This window comes from Homo sapiens, chromosome 12 (genome assembly GCF_000001405.40).
Source record: "Homo sapiens chromosome 12, GRCh38.p14 Primary Assembly".
Lineage (NCBI taxonomy): Eukaryota > Metazoa > Chordata > Mammalia > Primates > Hominidae > Homo > Homo sapiens.
This window is the reverse complement of record NC_000012.12, coordinates 106,976,980-106,990,734: the sequence shown is the minus strand read 5'-3', so window position 1 is coordinate 106,990,734 and position 13,755 is coordinate 106,976,980. Positions and strand designations below refer to the sequence as shown.

General features: G+C 41.9%; 1 protein-coding gene across 6 annotated transcripts; it reads left to right on the top strand.

Annotated features, from left to right (window-relative positions):
• The first annotated feature begins 3,588 nt into the window (after positions 1–3,588).
• MTERF2 (mitochondrial transcription termination factor 2) lies at positions 3,589–13,458 on the top strand. Of its 6 annotated transcripts, none has more exons than XM_017019986.2 (4): positions 3,589–3,766; positions 5,520–5,620; positions 10,022–10,114; positions 11,964–13,458. In XM_017019986.2, the coding sequence occupies exon 4, from the start codon at positions 12,021–12,023 to the stop codon at positions 13,176–13,178; it is 1,158 nt and encodes a 385-aa protein (XP_016875475.1). In that variant the 5' UTR covers positions 3,589–3,766; positions 5,520–5,620; positions 10,022–10,114; positions 11,964–12,020; the 3' UTR covers positions 13,179–13,458. The 6 variants fall into 6 exon arrangements, with proteins under 6 accessions (XP_016875475.1, XP_016875474.1, NP_079474.2 ...); XM_017019985.3 differs by having other exon boundaries at positions 5,510–5,620; NM_025198.5 differs by lacking the exon at positions 10,022–10,114.
• The last annotated feature ends 297 nt before the right edge of the window (positions 13,459–13,755 follow it).

Sequence of the window (13,755 nt, the reverse complement as noted above, 5' to 3'; positions counted from 1 at the left end):
TAGTATGATAATTTAAAGATAACTGAAGATAAAAGTTGAGTAAAAATACAGAAACGATAACATTTTAGATGATATGCATTTTTAAAAATATCCTGGATAGTGAATTAACAATGATCAATAAATTCCATTACTGAGGCTAGGTGTGGTGGCTCACGCCTATAATCCCAGCACTTTTGGAGGCTGAGGTGGGAGGATCACTGAAGCCCAGGAGGTCAAGGCTGCAGTGAGCTATGATTGTGCCACTGTACTCCAGCCTGGGTGGACAGATCAAGACCTCATCTGAGCTGGGTGTGGTGGCTCATTGCCTGTAATCCCAGCACTTTGTGGGGTTGAGGCGGGAGGATCACTTAAAGCCAGGAGTTTGAGACCAGCCCTGGAGACTTAGCAAGACCCCATCTCTATTTTTAAAAAATCAATATAAAAATAAAAAAAAAGTAAAGAAGACCAGGCAGGGTGGCTCATGCCTATAATTCTAGCACTTTGGGAAACTGAAGTGAAGCAGGAGAATCACTTGAGGCATGAACCCAGGAGGCGGAGTTTGCAGTGAGCCGAGATCACATCACTGCACTCCAGCCTGGGCGACAGAGTGAGACTCTGTCTCAAAAAAAAAAAAATGATTAGCCTGAACAACATCTTGGGACCCCATCTCTACAAAAGGAAACAACAAAAATATTAGCCAGGTGTGGTGGTGTGCACTATGGTCCCAGCTACTTGGGAGGCTGAGGTGGGAGGATGGCTTGATCTAGGGGATTTGAGGCTGCAGTGAGCTATGATTGCACCACTGCACTCCAACCTGGATGACAGGGTGAGACCTTGTCTCGGGGATGGGGCGGCAGGTGGGAAATCCATTACCGAGAAAAAGAATAAGAAAAAATCCTGTGCTTTATCGTTCTTTTTTCACCACTGTTAAAGTGAAGTAATATTTTAATTGTTTTTTATGGTAAGTGTACCTCACATCCTACTCTTTGGACCTGGTTGTACAGTGCAGAGTTGAGAAATTCATAGACCTGAGATTTACCATCACCGTACAAGAGGTCATAGATTTCAGTTTTCTTGTTGTTATTTTGAGACAGAGTCTCACTCTGTCGCCCAGGCTGGAGTGCAGTGGCACGATCTCGGCTCACTGCGGCATCTGCCTCCTGGGTTCAAGCGATTCTCCTGCCTCAGCCTCCCGAGTAGTTGGGACTACAGGCGCGTGCCATCACGCCCGGCTAATTTTTTGTATTTTTTAGTAGAGACAGGGTTTCACCGTTAGCCAGAATGGTCGCGATCTCCTGACCTCATGATCCGCTGGCCTCGGCCTCCCAAAGTGCTGGGATTACAGGCATGAGCCACCGCGCACGGCCAAAGATTCAGTTTTAATGTGAATAAATAAACAGTAAAAGAACACTATCTCAGCATAAGCACTGGTATGCTATTTATAAATGTAAGAGGATTTTTTTTTTATTAGGGAGTTTTTTGGAAAGCTTTTTCAGTTTGGTGTAAATAGTGGTCAAAATGAATCACTGAAAGGGAAAGAAAAGGCATCAGTCATCATGCTCTACTTGAGCAGATACATGATGTTCGAATCAGTGTTCTCCCCTTAACTAGAAATCCTACTTGTGGTTAAGGGATTTAAGACATTTTACTCATTCAGCAAATACTTCTTCAATTCTTATTGCCAAAAACTGTACTGACAACTTGGGAAAATTATATTGAGAGAACCAGGGTTTTGAATGAACTGTACAAAGTCCTTATGTTTTTCATATTTGCTTAAAATAAATAAGTAAATTTGAGATATAAAAGTCTATCAGTATTTTTAATGCATCTCTTACATACTAGAAATTTCAGGATCTTCTCACAATTCAAATGTGTTTGTAATTTTCTTGTACATAATATGCATAATTGTAAGTTCTTTTCCCCTTTTCTTCATTCAAGGTTTTTTTTCTGATTATATGGTCCTAGAAATGCACTGTTTAAATATTTGGGCTGGAAAAAACTTTGAGTAGCATTTATTTAATACAGTTGGCATAGCTGATTTGTCAGTTTCAAGTTTTGATTACAATGCACGGGGTCATATGTATTGTAATTCCTTGCACAATTACGTGGAGCCCTAATACAAGCTTCCAGCACCCTGGTGCACATTTCTGCTCCCTCCCTCCTGACCAGTGATGGCAGCTTGCAGTTCTAAGTCCTGAGTTTACATTCCTTAACTTCCTTTTCTGTATCCTAATTTCCTTTTCCTAAGTGCAAATGACACACTTTGGTTAGTCTGGACCCCAAATCATTTTATTTCAGGAAAAAGTGTGCAATAAATCTATGCATAATAGAGTTTTTATATTCGGATAACTCAGGAGTTGCTGGACAAACACCCCCCAGCTGTACACATGAGTTGCTCAGATCATTCTAGAATATCCTAGAGATCAGAGGTGGGTGATCTTGAGGAGCCAGGATTCTTGCTGCTACTCAGTGGAGTTAAATGCACGTGTGAGCTCCTCTCAATATAGCCTGTTGAGCCTAAACTGCATAGTGAGACTAGACTCAAAGATTTAGTTAACATTTCCTGAGTTCCTACTGTGTGCCCAGCATTGTTGACAGAAAAAATAATCAGTAGCCTCAAGGAATTCACTCCACAGGGTGCGAGGGCAGTCTGTATGCCAGTGCCACCGACGGCAGAACTGTGCACAGTGTGCTACGAACACCTGACAGCAGACACCTCCAGCTGGGAAAACCAGTTTTCCTGACTCCAACTCCACACAAACAGAATCACCAGGCCCAGCTCAGGGCACCCTGTCCTCGATAACACTTAACTAGGTGTGATTAGTCACGTTATTAGTTGTTGATATCTCTGCCCTCCACTAGAATGTAAGCTCCATAAGGACAGGGAATGTGTTTTATTCCCCCTCTATTTTCTCATTGCTGTTTCAATATGCTTGGCACTTAGCAGGCCTGCCATAAATACTTGTTTTTTGGATGGATAAATGTGAAAATAAATGAGAGAGACATTCAGCCTGGCTTTAAGGAGAAATTAACGTGTTTAGTGTATGAGGTTGGGCATCACCGGTAATAATTAGAATGGAAACCACTTGGCAGTTTATCAGAAAAGGGGAGTATTTAGGTGAAGGTGGCAAGGAGGGAGAGAAAGGAGAATGGCTTTTAAAGACAGTCGCTAACTGCTGGGGTAGGGTGGGGGCGGGGAAGAGTTCAGATGTGTTTCAAAGAACTTTGGGGGTTTTTTAAACATTTCTTTTGTAAGTTGGTTCTTTACCTAACTGAATTATTTTGGGAACAGTGATTGGCTCTATCTTAAAGATATAGCGGTTTCTGTTACTTCTTTTTTTTCTTATATTTTCTAAGCGTCAAAGCTACTGGAACTCCGCTTCCTAAAATGCTGGGAAGGAAAGGGTGTGAAAATGCCAGATGCCCCCGCCAGCACAGGCTGGGCTGCCTGGAAAGCCGATTCCCACTCCGACTCGCCCTCGTGGTGCGGGGAGGGACGCGTAGTTGTGTCCCGCGCTCTGACTGGCTGCGTTGGGACGCGGGGGCGTGTCTTGGGGGGGCGGGGGTTGGCGGTCATCTCCCGAGCCCTGATTGGCCATGGGCGAAGGGACTGATGGCCTGGTTGGCGCTGCTGAGAACTGTCGGGAGCTTCTTGAGACCGAGGACCGAAATCCCGGCTCCAGGCCTCGGGGACTGCGGACTGTGGGGAGGCTGGCCGGAGAGAGAGGGAAGGACGGGGCCTGGCCCCCGGGACTCCCTGTGCCTTGCTTGGAGCTGACGCCGACGGGTGAGTCGCCCCCTTCCTCTGCTCCTGGGCGTGTTCCTCACCAGCGGCGCCGCAGCGGTCAGGGCCCGCAAAACCCCACGCCTCGCCAGACGCTCAGCTCAGCCTGCCGGGTTTCTCTGGAAAAGCGGAGGCCCCACAGTGAATGTGCGGCCTTTTGATCGGTCCTGGAGATCTTCCGTGGACCCTCGTTTTTCCTTGCTTATAAACGTTGGTCAATTTGAAACTGGCAGCAGGGCATATGTGTTACGAAAGAAGAACTTTATTGAAACCAGTGGTGGTGTAGAGAAGACCATACTAACCATAACTGTGTATTACAGAAGTGAATTTCACTCCCCAAAAATGCTTAAGAAACAAGCATCCTAGAACAGCCCACATTGTGATTTAACAAACATTTACCAAAAGCATTGCTATATGTGGGGGCACAGGGCTAAGAGCAGGCAGGACTCTGGAGCCAACCTGTGGGGTTTGAGTCCAAATTCTGCCGGTTTTTTGTTTTTTGTTTTTTTTTTTAGCTGAGTAACCTTGGGCAAGTTCCTTTACCTGCGTCTGTTTCCTCATTTTAAAATGAGTTGTTGTGATGATTTAATGATTTAGTATATGTGAAGAGTTTTCTGCATATTCTAAGTGATTTATGGTATTAACTCGTTTGATCTTTGCAGTCACCCAGGAGATAGTATCACCATTTTCCTGATGCCAAACTGAGGCTCAGAGAGGTGAAGTAACTTCTTCAAGTCACAACACAACTGTTGTCCAGGAATCAGGCAGTCTGGCTCTGCTAACCCAGTTTTACCCACTGCATTAATGTACCGCATCCACTTGTTCACTCAGTTTCACCTGACAAATACTAATTTTGTCTCTCTGTGGAACAAGTTCTTTGCTGGGTGCAGGGAATAAAGCAGAACACCGTTCAGTTCCTGCCTTCCCAACGCTTGTAAATCTAGTGCAGGTCATTCATGGCCGGGCTGCAGGGTGTCCATGAATCCTGCTAAAATCATTTGCGAAATGTTGTGAGCGTGGGTCTTTTCTTCTGGAAAGAGAGTCTGTGACTCTCAGGTTCTGAGTTGATCTGTGATCCAAACAGAGGTGTGAAGAAGTGTTGTTTTAGCAGATCTGTGCCTAGTATGCCTGATACACAGCTTGAACTTCAAACAAACAGCAACAAAATTCCTACTGGTTGGAAGAATGAAGAACTTGTAAGAGCATAATAAGTGCTGCAGTAGCGTCCGGAGCAGGGTGCTGTGGAAGAGCACACAGAAGGCCACCTGCCCAGGAATGCCTCCTAGAGGCAGTGAAGGCAGCTGGGTGAAGGATAGGGAAGCAGTTCATTGGAACACTGTGGTGACCAGTCTGTCCATGTAGTGTTGAGACAGAAACAACACGTGAACAGCTGCAGCTGTTGTACCACTTGTGCGCAAGTGTAAAAGTCCATGGTGCCATGAAATCATGTAATGGGGACAGGAGGCTTCATGTATTCGTGAAGGTTAGAAAAGTTTCCTTGAGAAAGTGACACTTAGGCCTAAAAGTTGGAGCATTTTGGGCATGGAATCTGGCCCACAGTCTTCAAAGACCACATGGTAGAAACCAGTAGAGCACCAGGGACTGACAGGAAGCAAATGCAGCTGGTGCAGGAGAGGGAAATGGGAATTAGGGTGGTGGCAGAGCCCAAAGAGGCCTTGTAGGCCATGGTAAGGCATTTCTATGTTTTATTTTACTTTGTCTTTATCCTAAAATGCCATTGGCAAGTTTATTGCAGGGAACTGACAAGATCACATTTTGAGAAGAAGTTGGAAAGAATCCCAAGTGGATGAACTGAATATCTGGATGAGGACAAGATCTGTGGGGAGAGACTGTAAGGTAAGAAGAAGAGAGGTCTAGAACCAAGCCTTGAAGGTGAGCTTGTATGGGAGACAGATAGAGGGTGGCGAGAAGTATAGAAAGGGAGAAGAATCAAAAAAAGTCGAGTGTCCAGGAAGTCAAATGAGAGAATATTTCAAGGAGAAAGTGGTCAACTCTGCTAAAAGCTGCAGAAGTCAAAAGAGATAAGGAAGGCTGGGTGTGGTGGCTCATGGCTTGTATTAGTCCTTTTTCATGCTGCTGATAAAGACATAGCCAAGACTGGGCAATTTACAAAAGCAAGAGGTTTAATGGACTTACAGTGCCACGTGGTTGGGGAGACCTCACAATCATGGCGGAAGGTGAAAGGCACATCTCACATCGTGGCAGACAAGAAAAGAGTGAGAGCCAAGCGAAAGGGGTTTCCCCTTATAAAACCATCAGATCTCATGAGACTTATTCACTGTCATGAGAACAGTATGGGGGAAACCACCCCTATGATTTAATTATCTCCCACTGGGTTCCTCCCACAACACAAGGGAATTATGGGAGCTACAATTCAAGATGAGATTTGGGTGGGGACACAGCCAAACCACATCACGCCTGTAATCGACACTTTGGGATGCCAAGGTGGGCAGATCGCTTGAGCTCAGGAGTTCAAGAGCAGCCTGGAAATGTGGTGAAACCCCTTCTCTACAAAAAAAAGAGATAAGAATGAAAACTACTCATTGGCTGTAACCACATGAAAGTTATCTTTATCGCAAGCTATATAAGTAGAAGAGGAAATGGAGAGAAAGAAGGATCTGCAAGAATTAGCTGAGGTGAAGAGAAAGATAGGGTTTGGGCAGGGAAAAGAAGAGCAGTGGAGAGAGAGAGGGTTTGGGCAAGGACAGGAAGAGCAGTGGAGTGATGGCTGGAGCATCAGAGGAGGATACACCTGAAGGAGCAAACACTTGAGAAAGGGCTTGAGAGTTCTCAGGCCAGAGAGGCTGAGCTCAGCACAGGAGCAGGAATGACCCTGGATAATGAAAGCTGTGACTGGATAATGAAAGCTGTGAAGGGGAGCTAGTGATAGGTTTATGTCTGCTGAGAGGAGCTGCTCTCCTTTCTTTGTACAGATAGGAGGCAAGGGCACTGGTTGTGAGTGAAGGTGGGTATGGAGGTAGGTGGGAGGCCAGAGGTCTGAGTTGAGAAGATTTGAGATAGTTGGTGGGAAGTGTGGAAGAGTGAGTCAACCAGAGCTGGTTTGAGGATGGTCTGGCAGGGGGAGCCAAGTATGCAGCAAAGACCAGAAATGAGCCTCTTGGCCCCTTTGGGGAATTGCAAAGTAGGGGGATGAGGATGGAGGCAAATTAGAGACAAAAGCTACATTTAACATATGATAAAGGAGGCATCATAAGTCATGGGGAAGGAAAGGATTGTTCAGAAAATGGTACTTGGAGAGAAGTAAACTATTGATAAAATCTATTTAGATTCTCAGCTCACACCCAGAAATTTCAAATGAACTTAAGGAGCTAAGTTTTAAAGTTCAAACAAAAATATGGGAGGAAATAATGGATGAATTTTTACTGATCATCTGGTACTTAAAAGCAGTAAGGATCATCAAGGAAAACTTCCCTGACCTTCCTTTGACCACGTGAAATTAACTGCTTTGTTCTAACAGATACTGTAATATGAACTTTGATAACATTATGCTAAATGAAATAAGCCAGACACGAAAGACAAATATTATATGACCCCACATATAAAAAGTACCTAGAATAGGCAAATTCATAGAGACAGAAAGTAAAATAGAGGTAACTGGTGTCTGGAGGGAAGAGGGTATGGAGAGTTATTGTTTAATGGGCACAGAGACAGAGTTGGTGTTTGGGATAGTGGTCATGGTGGTACAACATTGTGACTATACTTTAAGCCACTGAATGGTACACTTGAAAATGGTTTAAATGGTAAATTTTTTGTTATTTATATCTTACTACAATTAAAAAAGGGGCTACTTTGGTATGCTAAAATATACCATCAACAACTGAAAATGAGCTGAAGAAAATATTTTCAAAAATGAGATTATATTTCTTAATTCATAGAGTTTATACAAGTCAATTTTTAAAAAGCAGAACGATTGCAGTTTTACAAGTCAGGAATGGTTGATTCACAAAAGGAAATAAAGATGAACGAAATAGTTTAATTATGAAAACATCACCCTTATAAATAATAAAAAGAAGTTAAATTAGTGTTGTATCATTTTTTACATATCAAAATAAAAACTGATGAGAGAATCACTCATACTGCCTGTGAGAATGTCAACTGAGATAGTTTTTCCTGACAGGAAATTTAGCAGCTTTGCTTTCCCAGTGTTCACGTATCTCCTCTTCAGTCAGGAAATCTATTTCTAGGAATTCATCCTAAAGGAAAAGCATATGAGATGTGGACATTTATTCAGCATATAGCAAAAATTACAAATAGCCTAAATGCTCAATATAAGGAATGAATTACAAAATAACAGTATATCCATCCCATATACCAAGCACTCAAATGTTTACAGAGCATTTTTAATACCACAGTTAGATACTTACTGTGAATAAAATAGAAGCAGAAAGATAAATTAGATACAAATATATGTATTATGTGTTCATTACATAGGAGTCACAACATTCATACTTTTCACTTCCATAGTCAGTTGTGTTTGCTCATCAGAGACTAAGCAAGGCAGATTAACTAGTAAAGACGACTCATCTGAACACATCACAGTTCATAACCAACTACTTCATCTGTGTGGTGTCTGCATAAGAGATTTTCAAGAAAAATTCTGAGTCTTTGTAATTTTCACTTTATAGGCTGAATTCAGAACCTCAGTACCATGTGTAGGGAAGGTAACACACAGGAGACCAGTAATACACTATCTTTCAGCAAGTCCAGCACAGCCAGGAGTTCCTGGGGTTTGGAACCCCAGGCTAAGCACTAGATGCTGCAGTTGGCTTGGTTGGGGGTTACATTATACAGAATGACGGATCATTAAACATTAGAAGGACATCGACCATGGCAAGGCACATCCACTGACAGAGGCTCCTGCACAGTGAGGCTAAGGGAACAGCAGCTGTCTGCATTTCCTGCTTACTCCAAGCTGAACTGTGATGTGTTCAGGTCACACATCATCATGTATGCCAAAATATGAACAGTTGTCTTCAGTGGTGGGGATTGTGAAAGACTTTTTCCATTTCCTTATACTTTCCAGAAGTTGGCAATTTTTCCACATTGAATGTGCATTGCTTTTATAAGCAGTTATTTTGGGAAACAGAAGCATTTAAAATCCATTTTTTAGGCCAGGCGTGGTGGCTCACACCTGTAATCCCAACATTTTGGGAGGCCGAGGCGGGTGGACTGCTTGAGCTCAGGAGTTCCAGACCAGCCTGGGCAACATGGCAAAACCCTGTCTCTACAAAAAGTACAAAAATTAGCCAGGTGTGGTGGCTCATGGCTGTAGTCCCAGCTACTCAGGAGGCTGAGGCTGGAGAATCACTTGAGCCCAGGAAGCAGAAGTTGCAGTGAGCCGAGATCACACCACTGTACTCCGTCCAGCCTGGGTGACAGAGTGAGAACCTGTCTCTTAAATACATACATACATACATACATAAACTTTTTGGTTTTCAGTTCTCTTTGTAAATAATCTATTTCTGTCTAAAATACAATTTAAAGTCATACTACTACAAGACTTCTAGCTCCAGAAATTTTACTCTGTACCAGGCATTGTGCAAAGTATTTGACATGCATTTTAACCCTTACAGTTTTCCTGTAAGGCTTAGATTCTGTTCTTTCCATCTCACAGATTGCTGCTGGTAATACTCATTGAATAGTTAGTGTGAGGCGCTGTTCTAATCACTGCTGTCTTGTTTTCTCTGAGGCTAACTTACCCAAGGGTGCCCCATAAGCTAGAGCCAGGATTGGGTGTGGGTGGTTGGCAGCAGCCCACGCTCCTCCCCCACGTGTGGTACAGAGGTGCAGCCTGAGCTTGTGGGGTCGCTCAACAGGGAGTGGGGAGCGGGATCCCAGCCCAGATCTGCCTGTGCTTCATCATGCTGCGCCGCCTCCTTCCTGTTCAAGTTGATGGCCTTCTTAGAAAGTTTTTAAAATAATATTTTCATCTTGGCTTAACAGTATTAGGAATTATCTGAAGAAAATTCTAGTTGAACCACTAAGAGTAAAACAAGCTATGCCTACAATTATTTTAGTCTCCATAGGCGCTCACAGTGAGCTAAATCAAAATGGGAAACCAAAATGGAAAGGGTGTTACCTAACTTTCCTAACAGAATAATCATTTATTTGGATTAGTTAAGACAGGGCTGAAAGTGAAGAGTCCCCAGCATACCTGGCAAGGGCGTTTAAATTAAAGTCAGGGATGGAAATGGCTGCTTTCTTCTTTTCTTTCAGACCTGTAAAGAGTGAGGGAAGGCTGCCAACAGGCTAAATTGAGCCGTACTACACACTTTTGTGGCAAGGCTGAGACACTTACAACACTCTTAGGTACTAAAACCAGATGTATTTTCATTACCAGAGACAAAAGAAATAGTGGTGAAGGAGTTCATTATACCACTTTTGACATATTGACCATTTTGAATTAAAGGCACCTGAAAAATAGCAGGTGTAAGATCTTTCTTTCTGTTTCTTAAAAGCAGATAAAATTCCCATGTGAAAGACACCCTCCCTATACCAAAAGGAATAACATCCTTAACCTCAAGGATGAGAAATTGATACCAAAAGATTTCTGCACAGTCCTTTTTAAAATAACTTATCTTTTAGACCTCCCCATGTAATTCGGTTGCTTCTTCGCAGCTTCCTATTTTTTGTCCAACTCAGTACATAAATAACTGACTCTAACTGCTTCTTTGGGTCTTTGATTCCTTATGAGGGCTCCCATGCCATGTGAACTTGTATTAAGTAAAGTTTATGGCCAGGGGTGGGGGCCCACACCTACAATCCCAGCACTTTGGGAGGCCGAGACGGGCAGATCACGAGGTCAAGAGATCGAGACCATCCTGGCCAACATGGTGAAACCTCGTCTCTACTAAAAATATAAAAATTAGCTGAGCATGGTGGCACACACCTGTAGTCCCAGCTACTCGGGAGGCTGAGGCAGGAGAATCACTTGAACTTGGGAGGTGGAGGTTGCAGTGAGCCAAGATCGCGCCACTGCATTCCAGCCTGGCAACAGAGAGAGACTCTGTCTCAAAATAAATAAAGTTAAAAAAAAAAGTTTATGTTTTTCTCCTGTTAATGTATCTTATGTCTAATTCTCGGGTCCTGCCACGACCCTAAGAAGATGGAGGTGTTTTGCTGCCCCTATAGAGGCAAAGACTGTTAATGTGTCAGACACAGTATAGCCATCTCAAGATACCTACACATGTCAAGTGGATAGCTGATTACACTGTTCTGAAAGTACAGTCACCATTCCACAGCTGACCTGATTTCCCATGGCACCACGGGAACAGTCATGTGGCATTTTTTCATTTTACCCAGCTAGGGATTACAGGCATGTGCCACCACACCCAGCTAATTTTTGTATGTTTAGTAGAGATGGGGTTTCACCATGTTGGCCAAGCTGGTCTCGAACTCCTGACCTCAGGTGATCCGCCCACCTTAGCCTCCCAAAGTGCTGGAATTACAACTTATTCTAATTCTGGATTTATAAAAGGGAGTTTTGCTCACATAATTCTAAAAACAAAAAAATCCATTTATTAACTCATTTAAAATAAAATAATTGGCCCATTTTGGGTGATAGTTATTCAGCAAAATATTTAACGTATAAAATTAGAGATGACCCTTCCCCTCTTCCCCCTTTAAGTATCTGCTTCAGGTAAACATCAACTTAATAATGTAAAACATTTCAAAAAACCATGTTTGTGTGTGTGTGCATAATACAGGCCTCCTAAAAGAAAAGATAAACAGTTGTGGAAAAGGGAATTTGTATGAAAATAACATTTGAGGTCTGTGAACCTTTGAACTCTTTGGTCTTGCTGCTCTTCTGTAAAATGGAAGTAACTCAACAGTGTATTTACAAAGTATAAGATATCGAAGTTGTGGAGAAGTGTATTACAATTCAATTAATTATTTAGGAGGTTTTTTTTTTTTAAGAGTTTCACTCTTGTTGCCCCGTCTGGAGTGCAATGCTACAATCTCAGCTCACTGCAACCTCGGGCTTCTGGGTTCAAGCAATCCTTATTTAGGAAGATTTTTAAAAATATTCCACATGAGCAGTTTTCTTGTCTAATTTAAATCCACTTTATTTCCAGACTTCAACAGCTCAAATTTGTAAGTGTATGTGTTCTGAAAGTCAACACCCTTATACTAAAAACCTTTATTTTCTTTTTTTCAGATAGAATGAGTCCATTTAAGTCCCAGGACGGTGGAAACTAGCTAGTAGATTGCAGCCATGTTGTGGAAGCTGCTGCTGAGATCCCAGTCCTGCAGGCTGTGTTCTTTCAGAAAGATGCGATCACCTCCAAAATACAGACCTTTCTTAGCATGCTTCACCTATACAACTGATAAACAGTCGAGCAAAGAAAATACAAGAACAGTGGAAAAGCTCTATAAATGTTCAGTTGACATTAGGAAAATTCGTAGATTAAAAGGATGGGTACTTTTAGAGGATGAAACCTATGTTGAAGAAATTGCGAATATTTTACAAGAACTAGGTGCCGATGAGACTGCTGTAGCCAGTATTTTGGAACGCTGCCCGGAAGCAATTGTCTGTAGTCCAACCGCTGTTAACACCCAGAGAAAACTCTGGCAGTTGGTCTGCAAAAATGAGGAAGAGTTAATCAAGTTAATAGAGCAGTTTCCAGAATCTTTCTTTACTATTAAAGACCAAGAGAACCAGAAGCTGAATGTTCAGTTCTTTCAAGAGTTGGGACTAAAAAATGTGGTCATTAGCAGACTTTTGACAGCTGCACCTAATGTTTTTCATAATCCTGTTGAGAAGAATAAGCAAATGGTAAGAATTCTCCAAGAGAGTTATCTAGATGTAGGTGGCTCTGAGGCCAACATGAAAGTTTGGCTACTAAAATTGTTAAGCCAAAACCCATTTATTTTGTTAAATTCTCCCACAGCTATAAAGGAAACACTAGAATTTCTCCAGGAGCAAGGTTTCACCAGCTTTGAAATTCTCCAGCTTCTATCCAAACTCAAAGGATTTCTTTTTCAACTTTGCCCAAGAAGTATACAGAATAGTATTTCCTTCTCTAAAAATGCTTTTAAATGCACAGATCATGACCTGAAGCAATTAGTTTTGAAATGTCCTGCCCTTTTATATTATTCTGTTCCAGTTTTAGAAGAGAGAATGCAAGGATTATTGAGAGAAGGAATTTCCATAGCTCAGATAAGAGAGACGCCAATGGTTCTTGAATTAACACCACAGATAGTACAGTACAGGATAAGGAAACTGAATTCCTCAGGCTACAGAATAAAGGATGGACATCTAGCAAATCTAAATGGATCAAAAAAAGAGTTTGAAGCTAATTTTGGCAAAATTCAGGCCAAAAAAGTAAGGCCATTATTTAACCCTGTGGCACCATTAAATGTTGAAGAATGACATACTGACTGTTGTTGCTTCTTTCTAGCAGTGCAGGGTGAAACTAACTAGCAAAGACAAAAATTCAGGCAGTTTGTAGACACCAGTAATTTTAAGAACCTGCTTAGCTTCTGTGTTGTATTTAAGTTATCTCTAAATAGATAAATTCTGACTCATGTGCCATATTATAAAATATAAATCATATTTATTTTAATAAGGTTGGTAACTTTTACCTTGAACCATTATTTCAAAAACTCATATACTATTAAATGGCATATCAGTGTGATACTTTATAAGTGAATCACTTCTAAGAAATGGACAAGTGCTTCCTTAATTCAAGGTATGGATACATTTATATTCATACACCACATTTCATGTTAGGAAGCAAATCCAGTCTTTCTCACTACTAGCCATGAAACATCACTCTACTGTGGTCTGAATTCTGTAGCTTAGTGTTATGTGAACTATTAGCAAACTTCTATACCTTTTTTTTTTTTTTTTGGAGAAAATTTCATCTTGTGTTTGGAATAAATTACTGTCTTTGAGAATCAAGTATTACTCATCCAAAAAGAAGAGTTGGAGCCTACTTGTGTGGTCA

What these genes read in the sequence shown, in the direction of transcription:
- MTERF2 (XM_017019987.2), top strand. Translation starts at nt 12,021, where the DNA reads ATGTTGTGGAAGCTGCTGCTGAGATCCCAGTCCTGCAGGCTGTGTTCT.